Source organism: Homo sapiens, chromosome 8, assembly GCF_000001405.40.
Source record: "Homo sapiens chromosome 8, GRCh38.p14 Primary Assembly".
In the NCBI taxonomy this organism is placed as follows: Eukaryota; Metazoa; Chordata; class Mammalia; order Primates; family Hominidae; genus Homo; species Homo sapiens.
The window spans coordinates 34,246,843-34,263,070 of NC_000008.11; the positions used below are offsets into that span (position 1 = coordinate 34,246,843).

A 16,228-nucleotide genomic window follows, 5' to 3' on the forward strand; every position below is an offset into this window, starting at 1 on the left:
TCAATTACTTAAAATTTATTTTACAAAAATGACTATATGCAGTTAATTTTCTATTCTCATGTCCTAAAATATAAATTATAGTATAAATTATAACAAAGGAGACAAAAATAAAGGACTGTGATATTTCCGTAACCTGGAAGCTAAACTGGTATTCTTGATGAATTCTGCTTATTTCCATGGTGATAATGAGATATGAGAGTACAGGACTGTCAGAAGGTCAAGGTTAGAGGATGAACATTGCTGTTTTCAAGGACAATCTTGTACTGAAGTAGATGTTCTGCTTGCGTGTTTGTATTATTTGATAATAAATGTTGAATGAGCCTGACACAGGTCTACGCATGAAGGCAAACTTATGTGTTCCCCAGTGTATGTTTAAACCTGCTAAATAGGACTGTTCCATCCCTACCTTGGTCTCTGAATGCATATGCATCAGGTCCCCAGGACTCCTCTGGTCACTCCTGGCTAAAATCTTATGGTCACAAATTCAAAAACAGCTTTAATTTATACAGACATTTTTGCAGTCCCAAAGAAAACTCAGACTCTGGCCCTGACCTTACATTCTATCTTTGTCCTTCTTAATTTGGGTCCTGTTGCAGGTATTTCCATTAACTTGTGTGTTTCTAGGAGTTTTTCTCTTCTCTCTCTTCACACAATGTGTCCCCCTCTTCCCTCCTCCACATTTTTTTTTTTTTTTGAGATGGAGTCTCGCTTTGTCACCCAGGCTGGAGTGCAGTGGTGAGAACTCTGCTCACTGCAACCTCCGCCTCCCGGGCTCAAGCGATTCTCCTGCCTCAGCCTCCTGAGTAGCTGGGACTATAGGCGTGTGCCACCATGCCGGGCTAATTTTTTGTATTTTTAGTAGAGACGAGGTTTCGCCATCTTAGCCAGGATGTTCTCGATCTCCTGACCTCGTGATCCGCCTGCCTAGGGCTCCCAAAGTGCTAGGATTACAGGCATGAGCCACTGTGCCGGGGAAGGCCTCCTCTTCCCCCTTCTTACTATGCAGAGCCTACCAGCATCAGAGTCAGGGAAAGGAAGAGAGGTCAGTGGGATAGGAATTTGTTTCCCTTGGCTTGTGTGATGTTTGGGGGCCTTTGGCTCTTTGGGTCTCTCTGGTATTTAGAGTTTACTTTCCTGTGGGTGCTTTCATAGATTTTTCAGAGAATCCTACTAGAAAAATTAAACTTGCTTTGACTCCTTAGACACGGCAGTGCATTTTCTTCCAGGTGGATGCTACTGCCTTAGCCTGTTTCTTTTTCTTTTTTGTCTAAGTGATTTCACAAAGACGATCATAAAGTATTGTGAGGTGAATCCAGCTGGACTTCCTGGGTCCAGTGGGGACTTGGAGAACTTTTCTGTCTAGCTAGAGGATTGTAAACTCACCAACCAGCACTCTGTAAAAATGCACCAATCAGTGCTCTGTGTCTAGCTAAAGGATTGTAAACGTACCAATTAGCACTCTGTAAAATGGACCAATCAGCACTCTGTAAAATGGACCAATCAGCAGGACGTGGGTGGGAACAAATAACGGAATAAAAGCTGGCCACCCCAGCCAGCAGTGGCAACCGCTTGGGTCTCCTTCCATGCTGTGGAAGCTTTGTTCTTTGGCTCTTCATAATAAATCTTGCTGCTGCTCACTCTTTGGGTCCACACTAGCTCTATGAGCTGTAACGCTCACCACAAGACTCTGTAGCTTCATTCCTGAAGTCAGTGAGACCACAAACCCACCAGGAGAAACAAACACCTCCAGACATGCCACCCTTAAGAGCTGTAACACTCACTGCGAGGGTCTGCGGCTTCATTCCTGGAGTCGGTAAGACCACAAACCCACTGGAAGGAACAAAGTCTGGACACACCATCTTTAAGAGCTGTAACACTCACCGTGAAGGTCCGCGGCTTCATTCTTGAAGTCAGTGAGACCAAGAACCCACCGGAAGGAATAAATTCTGGACACAGTATCATTCCTCAGAAAAATAGCTACAATCACTTTATATTTATCAGGTTCCCAAACTTAGAGGTTGCAGAGCAACTTCTGTGAGTAATCCTGTTGATGTTCTTCTCTTTCGACTTCAGAGGAAACGTACTGTATCCTTCTCATGCTTCCCTGTTGTATAGAGAAGACACTAATCTCAGGACAGTTCCCTCCAAAAGGCCTTTTTCATGAATTCCTTCTATCTCCAAAAACTTTTATTCATTTGATGTTTATGAGTTGCCCTACTGATTCTGAGAATCTATCTGGAGATTTTTGCTGTATAGAACCTCTCATAATAGGCTTTGGTATCAGTCATCATTTACATCCTGGCTCCTGAGTTGAAACTGCCAAATAATATTCATTAATTTGTTCATGCATTCACGTATTCATTCATTCATGCACACATATATTTAATACATATTGATTACTTACTATATGCTAAGCACTATTTTTGATGCTTTGGCTAGGGTAAAGAAAGGAAAAAGACCAAAATTTCTGCCCTTTTTCTAGAGAGAGATAAACAAACAAATTATAAATAAGTTATATTGTATATGAGAAGCTGGTAAATGAGCGCAGAAAAATAAAGCAGGGAAGAGAAACTGGAGATGGGGTGGGGATATGGAGACAATTTGAAATAGAATGATCAAGGATGGCCTCACTGATCTGAGAGAAGCCCATGATCAGAGAGAAGACCTGTGTGTAAAGAGTGTTCCAAACGGATATAACAGCAAACGCACAGGCCATGACCTGGGAGCGTGCTTGTCTTGTTTGAGAAACATAGGGAGGCCAATAGATGCAATAGCATGATGGATGGGGAGAGTAGTAGGAACTGAAGCATAGAATAATTGAGAAACTAGAGTGCAGAGAGAGTCAACCACCCTACCTGGCTCCACCCTGAGTTACAAAGAAAAGCATGGCAAGGATAGGAACAGAGGAGTGACTGCCAGCTGAAGTTTTTAAATGATAATGTCTTCCTTTTTATAAAAATATGCTATACGAGAGATGCGTGTGAAAGCAGGGAGACTCGTTAAAAAGCTATTGCAATATTCCAAGCAAGAGATGATAGTGGATTGGATCAGAGAGGTAGCAGGCAAGGTGGCAAAACAGAAAGGTTAAGTCAGGGATACATTTTGAAAGTAGATGCAAGAGGATTTCCTGACAGATTTAATGTGAGATGTGGGAGAAAGAGGAAAGGTGAAGGTGATTTTGGAGGCCAACATTTTTGGTCTGAGGAGCTGAAAGAATTAATTACAATGAAGGCACATGAGGGGAGGGGTAGGCTGCAAGGGGCTGCAGAAAGGTAGTGAACAAGGCCAGGGGTTCGTGTTCATTTTTGCACATGCTTAAGTTAATTTACTAATAGATATCCTACTGGAGGTATTGAGTAGGCTGTTAGATACATGAATTGGGCGTTCAGGAGTTTAGCAGAGAGGTCTAGACTCAAGACATTAATTAGAGAATCATCAGAATATGCATGACAGAATTGGATCACCAAGGGAGGAAGTATTAACAGGGAAGAGAAATAGAAGTTTAGGTATGGACCCAAGGTCATACAAAAGGCCGGACAATGAGGAGAAGCCAGCAAACAGACTGTAGGATAGACCAGAGAAATAAGAGGAAAACAAGAAGAATGAAGTCTTGGAAACTAACAAGAAGAATGTAAGGATGAGGGTGTGGTCAACTGGGTCAAATGTTCTCATAGGCGTAGTAAGTTCAGAACTGCATATTGATCATTAAATTTAACAACTTGGAGGTCACTGATGACCTTGACAAGAGCACTTTCAGTGAAGTAGTAAGTCTGTTTAGATAAAATAAAAGAGGAAATGGAAAAAGTTAAAAATTTCAGGTATGGACCAATTAATACAAGTTTTGCAATAAATTAGAGAAGAGAAATGGGGTGGCAGATAGAAGGGAATTGGAGTCAAGAGTGGACTTTCAGAGAGTTCAATGTTTGTATGCTGATGGCAGTTATCTCCTAAGAGAGGAATATTGTTCAGGCAAGGAAGAAGGAGTTTTCACTGAAGCCATGTCCTTATGTAGAAGAGACAGGATGTAATCAATTGCCTAGAAGAAGAAGTTTCCCAAGGACTGAACTATGAGAGAAGAGGAGTTCAAGAAACTGTGAAGCTGGAATACGAAGAGAATCATCTAAATGGATATTTAATGTCCCGTGATGTCATACTGAAGTGAGGTTGGAGAGTGTTACAGAGAGCCAAAACTGCAACTGTGATGGTGAGTGACCCAAGGAGGATGGCAAAAACGAGGAAGTAAAAGGGGAATGGGTAGTAAAATCAATGATAAGGGATTGGAGCTGAGATTTTACTAATTTGGAGGGCTTTAGAGAAGCAGTAACTTTACAGTAAGAAGATGAAAGGAACATTGAGAGAAGAATTCGAGAATGCATTTCTTTGTGTTGAGCAGTCATGAATTCTAGAAGGCACAGTGGAAGGTTTTTGGTAGTGAGAATGTTAGGAGATGAGGACAGAATGTAGGATATGTAGTCTTAGGAAAATTAGGGTAAAGGAAATGAGTGGGTACTCAAAATTCCTAGGCTTCTTGTAGTTCTTAAGTGGCAATAAAGAATATAATGAGATTAATCATAGAGACTCAAAGCAGATAGTGAAGCTGAGACTCTGTTGGGGCCAGAAGGTTTAGGAGGACCATAGGCACATGACCCATTCTAATGAAGGGTAGGATTCTCACTGTAATGCTTTTTTTCTCATCCAGAATATGCCCAGATTTCTTTTTTTAACATTATATTGATTTAATTAGTGTGTATGTACTAGAAACAGCACATATTATTTTGACTTATTCAGTTTTGTTATTTAGGTCATTTGATCAGTTTAATAATCATGAAACTAATTAGTAATCACAAAATATCTTTGCTTTGCAACTCCATTACATAATGCAAAATGATTAAATGAAATTTAACATATGGCACAGGCTTAGTCTTGTTTTGGGTGCTGTGAAGTATGGGGAAAGGGTGCTTTTTATCTATTGCATTATTTATTCTGGTTGCAATGATCTAGTTACATTAGAAATTGATAAAGAAAAGTGTGTGTTTTTAATACAAGGCAAGGGGAGTTCCCAAGGAGGGTTGCAATGTGGGGCTAGACATTATTCAAGTTCTGGAAACTCTTCTGACAATATTTCTTAAGGTCTTAATCAATCAGGGTTCAATATTTGATTTTAATGATAGTTTGTATTCTACAGCATGAATTTAGATTTGAGATGGAGAGAACTCAGCCTTCCCTCACAGCATTCTGTTAGCATTTTCCTTCAGCGTTTGCTCTCAGACTTCACCAAAGATGTCCAAATGGACAGCTCTGACAGGTGGCTCCTCAGAGAGTCCTCTTGCCTGCGCTTCTTGTTTAGTAGAAGTGACAGCCAAAGATGGGTTAGAAGAGCCTGGCAAAACAAGAGGTAGCTAAAACTCATGAAGTGTCAATAATGGATTATGTCAGGGTCAAGGAGAGAGTTGGGGGAAATAGTTTGAGAAAATGTATTAGGGATACACACAACCAATCAGTTTTGTTTGTCTGTTTCTTCAGTGTGAAATTCAACAAAATGAAGCTAGAGAACAAGTGTTCTTGGACATATTAGTAATTCTCAGTTATTAAAGAATTAAATTCTGATAGGGGAATAAAGTCTGATTGACAACTGTCTCCTTTGATCCCTTCCTCAGCTTGTTACACACACACACACACACACACACACACATTATTCTTTATCTCATAGATTTCAATCACTGCCAACAGCAGTAGAATCTGGTTTATATGTGTTCCAACTGCTGACTTCCTATTAATTTATTCAAGAAATATTTATGGAGTATCTTTTATGCCCCAGCTACTATTCTAGGCACTGGTGATTTCACAGTTAACAGGATGGTTAAAGTCCCTGATTGTATAGATGTATCTATTCTAGTGTTTGTGTCGGCAGGAGGAGAGTAGAAACAATAAATGTGTTAGTAAATAACAGGCAGACCTGGCATATTATAAACAGGAAATTAGAATTTTAATATTTATGTTCATGAATCACATAGAAACATGCACCTGTGCTTGAAATATATGTTATCACACAGCTAGGAGGAACATAAAGATATATGACATAAATTACTGCCCTCATTTCATTAGAAGGAAATTTGAGACAGAGATGGTGATTGTGAATTGTATAAAGTCAATCTAAAGTAGAGAAATTGGCAATTACTATTAAGTCAAATCAATACTTAATTTCAAATTAAAGGGTAGTTTATTTCTAACGGTCTAAAACTTGGGCAAACCCCTCCAGTTACACAACTACTTAAACTATAGAAAAATTCTAGTCATATGTATTAACATTGTTCCTTTCTAGTGTGTAATCCTTTGATTACCATTACTCCTGCATCCATATTTTTAAAGACTTCATGCTTGTTGTTTACCACTGAACTATATATCGGTTGTACATAACTAAGTCTAGATTCTATGATTCTTTTGCTTAACTTTATAGACAAGAAAGTGATAGAAACCTGAAATTTATTCAGATTGGGAATTAGATTTAGGATGCAATGACTTCTAATAGTGTTCTACCTTGTTGTAGAGGGATGTTTTCGGATCACACACTGAGTCTGTGGTTTACTGCACTTTCTCACCAACTAAGAGCCTTCAGCAAGGTTACTCTAGATTACTTACATGTAAGATTATATTAGTGGATAGTTGATTTTAAAAAATCACTTCTCCTATCAGCCAAGTCTGTCCTCACCCCCTTACCACTCAGAGCAATGCATTGTGGTTGTCCTACTTTTCCCCTAATACAAACTTTACTCCTAAGTCCTTCTGGCTACTTCATCCTTTTTAGTCAAATATTTGCCAGACAAAAGTAGTTTCCCCTCTTGGAGTATTGTCCTTTCTCTGATGACAGTGTCAAGGCAGATTTAGACTACAGCCCATTCTCTGCAGTACTGACCCTTCACTAATATCTGGGATTTTATTCTCTCATATCAATTTCTTTTGTTGAAAGCAGCAGGAAGCCCAACCAAAATAGCTAAGTTTTTTCAGGCAATATTACACATGCATGTGCAGACTGGCTAGCATTAAAAAAGAGAAGGTCAGGTTCAGGGATCTCATGCTAGTTACGTGTAGACACAGACTATTTCAAGAACAATTTGCTTTTCCTTCAACACTTTTAGATTTGGTTTACTTCCCTGCCTGTATCAGGCCTCCTTAACAGTTGTAACTCTTTTTTTTTTTTTTTAATCCAAAGCAAAGACAGAAGGGGAAGTGATCACAGCACCCAAACAAAATGCACTTCCTGCAAAATGGTGGCTTGCAGAAAGATCTAATTTTTTTTGGTCAATTTAGTGCTTAAAAAACAGAGTTCAACATATTAGTTTGAAAATGTCCTGTTGTAGTTTAGAAAAAAGAAGAAGACACACACGCAGAGGTCTGTTCACAATCTCAGAAGGTCATTTCTAATATCCTCTACCATTATTATGCATTTAAAAATAAATCATAAGAAAAACCAGACTATTATTGAGTTTATGTTAGATGAGGATTACTCATATCTTTCCGAAATAATATTTTTGTTTCCTAATGAAAAATATCTTTGTGTATACCATTTGTAAAATTTCAATATATACACATTCCCAGAGGTTTATTCACTACTTGGCTCCACCAGATATCTAAGATTGCATATAAGGGATACATAAAATAAAAAGGTAGAACAGAAAACAGAAGATGAAAGAGGAAAACAAATGGACAAAAACAATTCCAGGGCTATGAAGCAAAGGTAGAAAGGAGGCCCTTACAGAGACGTCCACCAGAGTCCTCTTCATCAAGCATGGAACATACATTTGGCTCCAAGCTTTCTTACAGTCCTACATAAGGATCCATCTGCTATGAGAATATGGCTTATAATAGTTAACCACGAGCAGACCAAGAAGATAAAATTTATTACTACTTAAAATAGAAACTTTTTCCCTGAGATCATTGTAAATAAGATTATGTATAATATAATAAAAAACTCCCTCTTCGTATTTTTAAAGCAGCTGCAGAAGTAGAGCAGCCAAATGATTTCTTCTAAAGGCCTGCAATGTAGGATAAAGATGTCATTTTCTTGTGAAGTCCTGTAGGGGCCTAGAATTGTGGGTCTAGAAAGAACAGTTCTCAAATATTAATGGGTATTAGGAGCAGCTGGGTAGCTCATTAATGTGTGGACTCCCAGACCCTACCTCCCCAGGAGGTTCTCATTCATAGGTCCAAAGGCAACCCTAGAATATGCATTTTAACAAGCATTTCAGGTGATTCTGATGAGGGACATATTTAAGAGCATCTATGTGACAGTGTCAGTGTTTTTGATACTTGACAGATGATGCTTTCATGGCAGATACACTGCTAAAGACACATATAAGACAGACTTCAGGCATCTTCATGCTTTTTCTCCCACTTGAAAAACACATTTCAGTATGCAAGCTAGCCACAATGATGTTGGAAGAATAACCCTATGTCTGCTCTAATTATTTACTTTAAATAAATCATTTGCAAATTTCACTCTTTTAATTCTACTACTAATAAATAGCCTCCAATATATTCCACAATTGACAACAATGTACTGCTATGTCATTAACGCACAAATTACCTAGAGATGAACGTGAGGTCTGCATATTTTTCAGACAATGCTTGGCAAATGTAATTTATTTCACCTTTTTAAAGATAGATATTGGGTGAAGACTAAACTACCTGGCAGAGACCTAGAATGCAGCTGTTCTAAATTGCAAATTAAATCTAAATAATATGTTTTAAGTGCAGCCAAGCTGGGTGGAAGATTTTTTATGTGGTGAAAATTGAGGACTTAATAAGTATGTGTCCTGGAAGAGACGGCCTTTCCACTTCCACTTGCCAAGTCTAATGTTCTTCTTAAAATATATTTTCAATTCTTATACTTAGGTTAAACTTATAAGTAAGTTTAACCTAAGTTATATCTCAACCAAGAAAGAACAATATGTATGAATCGTCTAAAGGACACTTAGGTTTGCAAAATGTTATTTGTTGATATCCCTTACAAGATAAATTATAATTAACAGTGAGCCCAAATGGTGGGCTGATGTAGAGCCTTGATTCTCAAAGTGTAGTCTTCAGAGCAGGCGCATCAGCGTCAGTTTGTCAACTTGTTACAAAACCAAATTCTCAAGCTCCACCTAGACAAAATGAATATGAAACTCGGGAAATGGGGTTCAACAGTCTGCTTTCACAGGCTCTGCAGGTGATCCTGATGGATGATAAAGTTTGAGAACCACTGCTCCCTAGCATACTAAGATTTGGGGAACATGGGAACATCTGCCTAAAATAATAACTTTGGTTGTGGGAAGGTGATTTTTAAGTCCTGTTTTTCATAACAGGGAGAGCTTGAGTTTATATGTATAAATGCATACATGTGAGATCTCATTTTACCAAGCACTTCTATCTGGTTTATTTCAAACTGTGCTCATTTTTATCTATTTTGTTTGTTCTTTATTACAGGTTGCAAGATGGTGGCTTGCAGGAAGATCTAATATTTTTGGTCAGTTCAGTGCTTAAAAAATAGATTTCAACACTATTAATTTGAAATGTCCTGTTCTAGTTCCTTGCAGGTTGCCACACTGATTTTTGCCCCATTCGGAGATCTGTGTCACAGTCTGGCTCCTGGATGCTTTCTGCTACACCACGTCAGGTCAAAATGACATTAATTTAAATGATACCATTTTTTAGCCTTAACTCTTGCTATACTTTCTTAAACTGCCTTATTCCAGTGATTCTTCTTATATTTTACCAAATGTACCTTGTAATTTTTCACTTTCTGTCTTTGCATATTATGTTATCCTTTCCTAGGATGCACTTTTCATTCCTTTTTCATATTAAAAGCATTCTCCAGAAGCAGCTGAAATCCCATTTCTACCTTAAAGTCCAGCCCAACATAATAATCTCTATTGCCATTTGTATGTGTGTGTGTGCAGGAAATGTCATCTGCATAGATTATATCTATCCAGTGAAGTGTTAAGCTTCTTCAAATGGGCTGTATCTTCTATTACATACATAGGTCCAACTATTTTGTACGTAGTAGTTACCTTATACACTTTTTAAATTAACTTTCTTTTTTTTCTTTTGCCTCCCCCTCCCCTCCCCTCCCCTCCCCTCCCCTCCCCTCCCCTCCCCTCTCCTCTTCTCTCCTCTCCTTTCCTCTCCTTTCCTTTTTTAAGACAGGGTCTTGCTCTGTGTCCCAGGCTGGAATATAATGGCATGATCTTGGCTCACTGAAACCTCCACCTCCCAGGCTCAAGAGATTCTTCTGCCTCAGCCTTCTGAGTAGCTGGGACTACAGGCAAGTGCCACCATGCCTGGCTATTTTTTGTATTTTTTGTAGAGTTGGGGTTTTGCCATGTTGCCCAGGCTGCTCTCGAACTCCTGAGCTCAAGCAATCCACCCACCTTGGCCTCCTAAAGTGCTGGGATTATAAGCGTGAGCCACCACACCCAGCTGATTAATTTTTTTTTATTAACATTATCTACTGAACAGATTTAAAACCTCAGTGTATACTAGGTATCACCTGCCTTTTAAAGAACATTTACTCAGCCCTCTAGAGCCAGTTCTGTTCTTGTGCAGAAATGAGCTCAGCTGGCAAAGTAGAGTCCATGATTAACTAAGCTATAAAGGAATAGACCAGGGATTGGCAGAGGAGAACAGAGCTACCTCTGAGGGGCCTGTCTAGAACGCTGCACAGAACAGAAACTCTCTCCTTAAGGTGTTATCAAGCTAGTCCAAGCAAAGAGAGAATGAACTCACTGTAGGCTAACTAGCTGTGGCTACTGAACTGAATTATTGAAGTCTGCAGTGCCTCCAAAGATCTAGAAAATTGAGGTCCAAAATGACTTATGGAATTTCAGAGTTTTTTATTTTACTCTCATAATCAATAAATATGTATTTAGTCCATAGTGTGTATAAGTAATTGTCCAAGATATTGAGATAGATAGTGAACAAAATAGACAAAGATCCCTGTCCTTGTGAAATTTATAGTCTAGATTACCTATGTGTCCAAATATCAGCTCTGTAATAGCATTTTTATATACTGAATCATCTGACCAATTGAACTGTAATGCTACACCTATTATGAGGAGATCACCCTTTAGTAGAGGAATTTCCAATAGTGGCTACTACTCACATTTCCTGGAGGGTAATGACATACATTTATGTGGGTAAAGGCATGCATTTTAATCTGGGTGGCCAATATTATTAAGTGCTCTCTTTCTGACTATGATTGATTGAATTGTAATAAAATCTTGATTGCATTATTCAATACTGCAATTATTTTTTTAGTTGCTAGTAACGCTTGTACTGACCACAGGGAAATTTCTAGGGTTCTGAACAAATAAAAATAACTTTTATTTGTGCAGTAATTTCTCTTGGACAAAATGCTTTCTCTTATGTTATCTCATTTAATTACAGGGACTGTGATATGAGGTACATACTATTATTTCCATTGCATACTTAAGAAAATGTTCAGAAAATTTGAGTGGCTTATTCCTCTGCCTCCTAAATCCATTCTCTTTTCAGTCTCATGTGTTACCTCTGCCTTGTGCTAATAGTGGGTTATCATCAGCTCACCATTAGAGGCTGCTAGCAAGCAAACCTCTGGTTCATAAAACTGAAACCCTATTTTGAGGTTAAGTTTACTCTTTACTTCCTTGGACTGATTGATTTTTTAGAAGTAAATCAGACTTGTTACTTTATTTGGCAGAAAAGTATTTTTAAAAAACTTAAGAAAATGTGCAAATTTGGTCACTAACTCTATCATAAGGAAAGTCAATGAAAACCCCAAGGCATTTCTAATGTTTTCACTGCAGAAAAGGTCACCCGGTTAAAATGACTCTTTGATGATAACTTAGTTGTGGTATAAAAGGCAGAAACATTGTGATATGTAGAGTTTGCAAAGGGAACACTCTGGGAAGTGTTAACTATCCAGCATTCTGAAATCCCCTTAGAGCCCCCTGCACAAGGAATGCTAAACTTATTTTCACATGTTTGTAACCTAATTAGGTCTTCAGGGATAGTCTCCTGAGGTCAGAGACTAACAATATGCCAACCCTCAGCACTGCTGTATTCACCTTAAAAAAAAAGAAAGCTTTCAGTCCTTCAGGAATAACAGTTTCATTAAAGCAAGTAAATTCCAGGGAAAAACAATCAGGTTGTAAAGAATTTACATCCTCCTTTTTATAAATGATCCTCCTGGCTCTCTCTTTTTTAATCTTCCTAAAAGTTGGTTGGTTTTTTAATCTTCTTAAAACTGTCACTTCCCTTCCTTTCTCCCATTTTGCCCAAGCGTAGTCATTTTGATGTATTTGCAGCAGCCGAGAAGCCATTGCTGAAGACGTATGTTCTAAATATTTTCCTCAGATTCCATGTAGCTACGTAATGTGTAGAGACATTTTTCAGTGGTGCTGGGTACTGTCTTGGGGATTCAAAACTACCCCTTGAGGTACAAAGTCCTCTGTGTTAAACCTAAAATAGTAATGTTCGTTTCAATCATTTAGATTATAACTGTAGAAATGTCCTACAGGTTAGATTTTTATCATCAACGACACTTCTGTATCTATGCTTTCTTGAGGTTTAAGCCTTCTAAATGTGTTTTTCTTTAGCAAGCAACCAGTCTAACTCACCTGCTGTTTCTATGAAATAGAGCAAAAATATGGCTTGATGAAATTTAATAGCTGATCCTTGTTTAGATATAATCTTCCCAATCAAGTTATTCTAGTGGGTGCACCTGGTTTAGGCTATAACTGCTTCATTGGAGTGGAAGACAGCAGATGAATAATATGGCGAAAGCAGAGGACAGTTGAAGCCTAGGCTGAGTTTAGCTAGTTCCTGGTGAGTATTTTGTGCCTTGTGGTTGATAAGAGTAAGGGATAAATTCCTTACCACAACACCTCGTGCGAAGATTGGTTTAAAGTGGCTGATTACCCGAAAGGCTCTCAGGAAAGAAAACCAGAGCTCAAATCAAATAGAGTAGAAAATAAAACAGTGAAGTAATTGTAAACAATTATCACCAGAAACAAGTACTGTGCAAATTATATACTCCTAAGTGGCACTAGATCATTGTCATATTAAATATATTCTAGCAACAGTTCTATGGACCTATGCCTTTTTAATGACTGAATAATTCTTAGACCATAGTGGTAAACTATAACTCTAAACCCTTTCTTTTTGTGTGCCTTAATATTCCAAATACAGTATTATGAGACTTTTTAATTTTTAATATATCAAATATTTAATAGCTATACTTACTAAAATAACTGGGTACTTTGTGGAAGGCATGGCTTGAGGCTGATAAATTGATACCTCCATATATATAAATGAAGGGGTTACCTGTGGTTTAGGTGACATATAAAATGGGGAACACAAAAAGCTTATTTTGTCAGAGTGTACCTTGGGGCTGCCTCTATATCACTCTGGTATTTCGCTTTGACTGTTTATTCTCAAGGATGCTTTAGGTCTATGAATAGCATCTATTGGTCAAAAGCAACTTGTTTATTAAAACACCCATGTAGTTGAGTTTCATGAAATGTGTACTGTTTTCTCATCAAAACCATGGTCTTGTCATGGAAACCTTCATAAATCATACTCCAAGAACAGCTCCTTAACTGCCTACTGTTTTCTTTTCAAATACCTGTTGTTAATCTTGCTGACAGTTCTGACAGGCGTGTGCCTGCAGCTTTGAATTCCACATGTTGTAAGCAGCTTAAAACTTCAAGCCAAAGGAAGAATATTCATCCGTGGTAGAAACCATAGAATCTCATGTGTGACATCATTATAGGCAGGCAGAACTCAAAGAGATTTTCCCAAGGGATCTGAAATTTCTTTATCAATGAGATACTAATAATTTCCATTATTGATGATAATAATAGCAGAATCTACTATTTGTTTAGGGCCAGCCATTCTAATATGCGTTTATCTTGATACTTGCAATAGTCATATAAGGTAAATACTAGCTAAGGCATTAAAAATGATGAAATAAGAGGTTGTAATACCTCTAAAGTATAGCCAGAAAGTGGGAAAACAGGAGTCAAGCCCAGATATTCTTAAAAGTTTAGCTTATTTCTATTTTACCAACCTGACCTTCATTCAATTTGCCCTTTCTAACTTGAAAGGAAGTGTATCCCTTGTTTTCTCATGTTATTTACTGAATAGAGCATTATAATACCAATCAGAATCTTTCCAGAGAGGTTCTGCCAGAGAACACAGGTGGAGATCAGCTTACTCACAAGAGCTGGCTGCTGGGTGTCGCTGTAACCTCTGTCCCACTCCTCATGGAAGCCAAATGTCAGAGGTGGGTTCTGAGGTCAGTCTAGTAGGGGGAACTTGCTTCTTCAAACTCAGTGCTTGGGGTGAGTCGAGAAACTGCTCTCATTGCCCTCACTCACCTTGTAACTAGATACGTGAAAGGAGGAGAGAGAGGTTCAAGCCTCCACTTAGAGCCACAGTGGACAAACTGCTTTGAAGCACCATGCATTGAGGTTCCTGCCCAGAGTTCCTGCTAGACTTAAAACCATGCCAGAGCAAGTGATACTTTGACCTTACTTGTACTTAGGAAATAGGGTGTTTGAGTTGGAAGGAATACACAGTGTTTTCGTACCTTGCTTGACTGTCAGGCCTTCCTCCCCAAGCTCCCAAAGAAGGATTATAAAAGTTGCTAACGGGTTTGAAAGTAGAACATATGGGATTCCAGCATTACAAAGGACCTTGTGAATTTCTAACTTCCTTGTTTTATGAGGGAACTGAATCCCAGAAAAAGTGACATAATGTAAGGTTTGAGCCCTTAGCATGGCCAAGGTCTTCATCTGCCTGCAAGACAAGACCCAGCGAAGTCTTGGCCCACTCTCCTCCTAGTCTTCTTTCACCTGCCCTGCCTCTGACTCCCTGCCCCCTGTCTGTTTGCTGAACTCGCCTTGCATGTTCATATCTGTCTATAACACTCTTGCCCCAGATACTTGTTGGTGAACTCACTTAGCCCAGTTTTTAGATGAAATATCGCCCCCCCCTTTTTTTTTTGCAATGCTTTCTTAGACTGGCCCTCTAAAATAGCATCTTCATCCTTCTCTGTCCCCTTATTCTGATTTCATTTTCTTTATAGCACTTGTCCACTTTCATTTGTCTTTTCCTATGAGCCCCAAGAAGGCAGGTTTTTTGTTTTGTTTTGTTTTAATGTGGTATCCTTAAGCAAGTGTGTCATCCAATAAATAATAACTGAAAGAATAAGTGGGTGAGTGAATACCCATTTGTTCTGTTTTGCTCACTATGTTCTACTTGAAGGATAAATATAGAACTGTATTTATTCTTCAGGTATTGCCTTCTCCAGAATTCTCTATTGTCATTTGGCTAAAGGCTCCTCATTCTGGGTTTCCACATCACTCTCTCTCTTAGCACTTAGCAAAATATGTTGTGTCACCCTTTACCATACATCTTGACTCAGGCTTCTTTGGACGCAGTCCTGAGACAAGAGCATGGGTGCAGATGATTTGTTTGGTTGGTGATCCCAGGGAGAAGAGATGAGGGGTTGAGAATAGTGAAGACTGAGGAATGAGGATAGAGATGGAGGAAAAGCCAATATAAAACTCTGATTGAGAGGTTGCTGCTATGGACAATGGGGGCCTGAGACCCCTAGGACCAGAGAAACCTACAGAATATTTTGCAGAATTGTCTGCTATTTATCCACCAGCTCCTGAGGCTGGTCCTGGATGGTAACTCCCAGACACATCCCAGCTTCAGGTATTATCTCCTCCTGAAGTCTTCCCAGCTTCATAGGAGCAAAAACAGCTCCCGGTGGTATCCAGTAGCAGAGAAGATATGGCACATGCTTGAAAGGAGAAGCTGTTAGCACATCAGGAATCAGGAATTGAAGCACACTTGGAACTCTCTATCCAGACATGGATGGAATCAGAGATGAGGCCAACAGGAAGTAAACAGAGTTCCCATAGGTGTCTGATACTGGCATACAGTACAACTTCAACAAATGTTTATGGAATTGACTTAACTAAAATGAGATTATGACATAACCTTGGGCTCAAGAAACAGGCTTAAGTTTAAATCCCTGTTCTGTCATGAAACCTTGAAACAATTATATCACTTTTTTAGACCTTAGATCTTTCATCTGAAAAGTGGGATAATATTAGTTATTATTTTTTAAATGAGAAAGTTGATACAGAATCCACAGTGTTTAACAAGCAGAATGAGCTAAATAATGGTGAACTACATT

General features: G+C 38.6%; 1 long non-coding RNA gene across 3 annotated transcripts in view; it reads left to right on the forward strand.

Moving 5' to 3' along the window:
- LOC105379364 (uncharacterized) overlaps positions 1-11,275 on the forward strand; it is a 535,736-nt gene extending 524,461 nt beyond the window's left edge. For all 3 annotated transcript variants that reach the window (NR_189605.1, NR_189606.1, NR_189607.1), the window contains one exon: positions 9,566-11,275. This is a non-coding gene — a long non-coding RNA (uncharacterized LOC105379364). The remainder of the gene's footprint in view (positions 1-9,565) is intronic.
- The last annotated feature ends 4,953 nt before the right edge of the window (positions 11,276-16,228 follow it).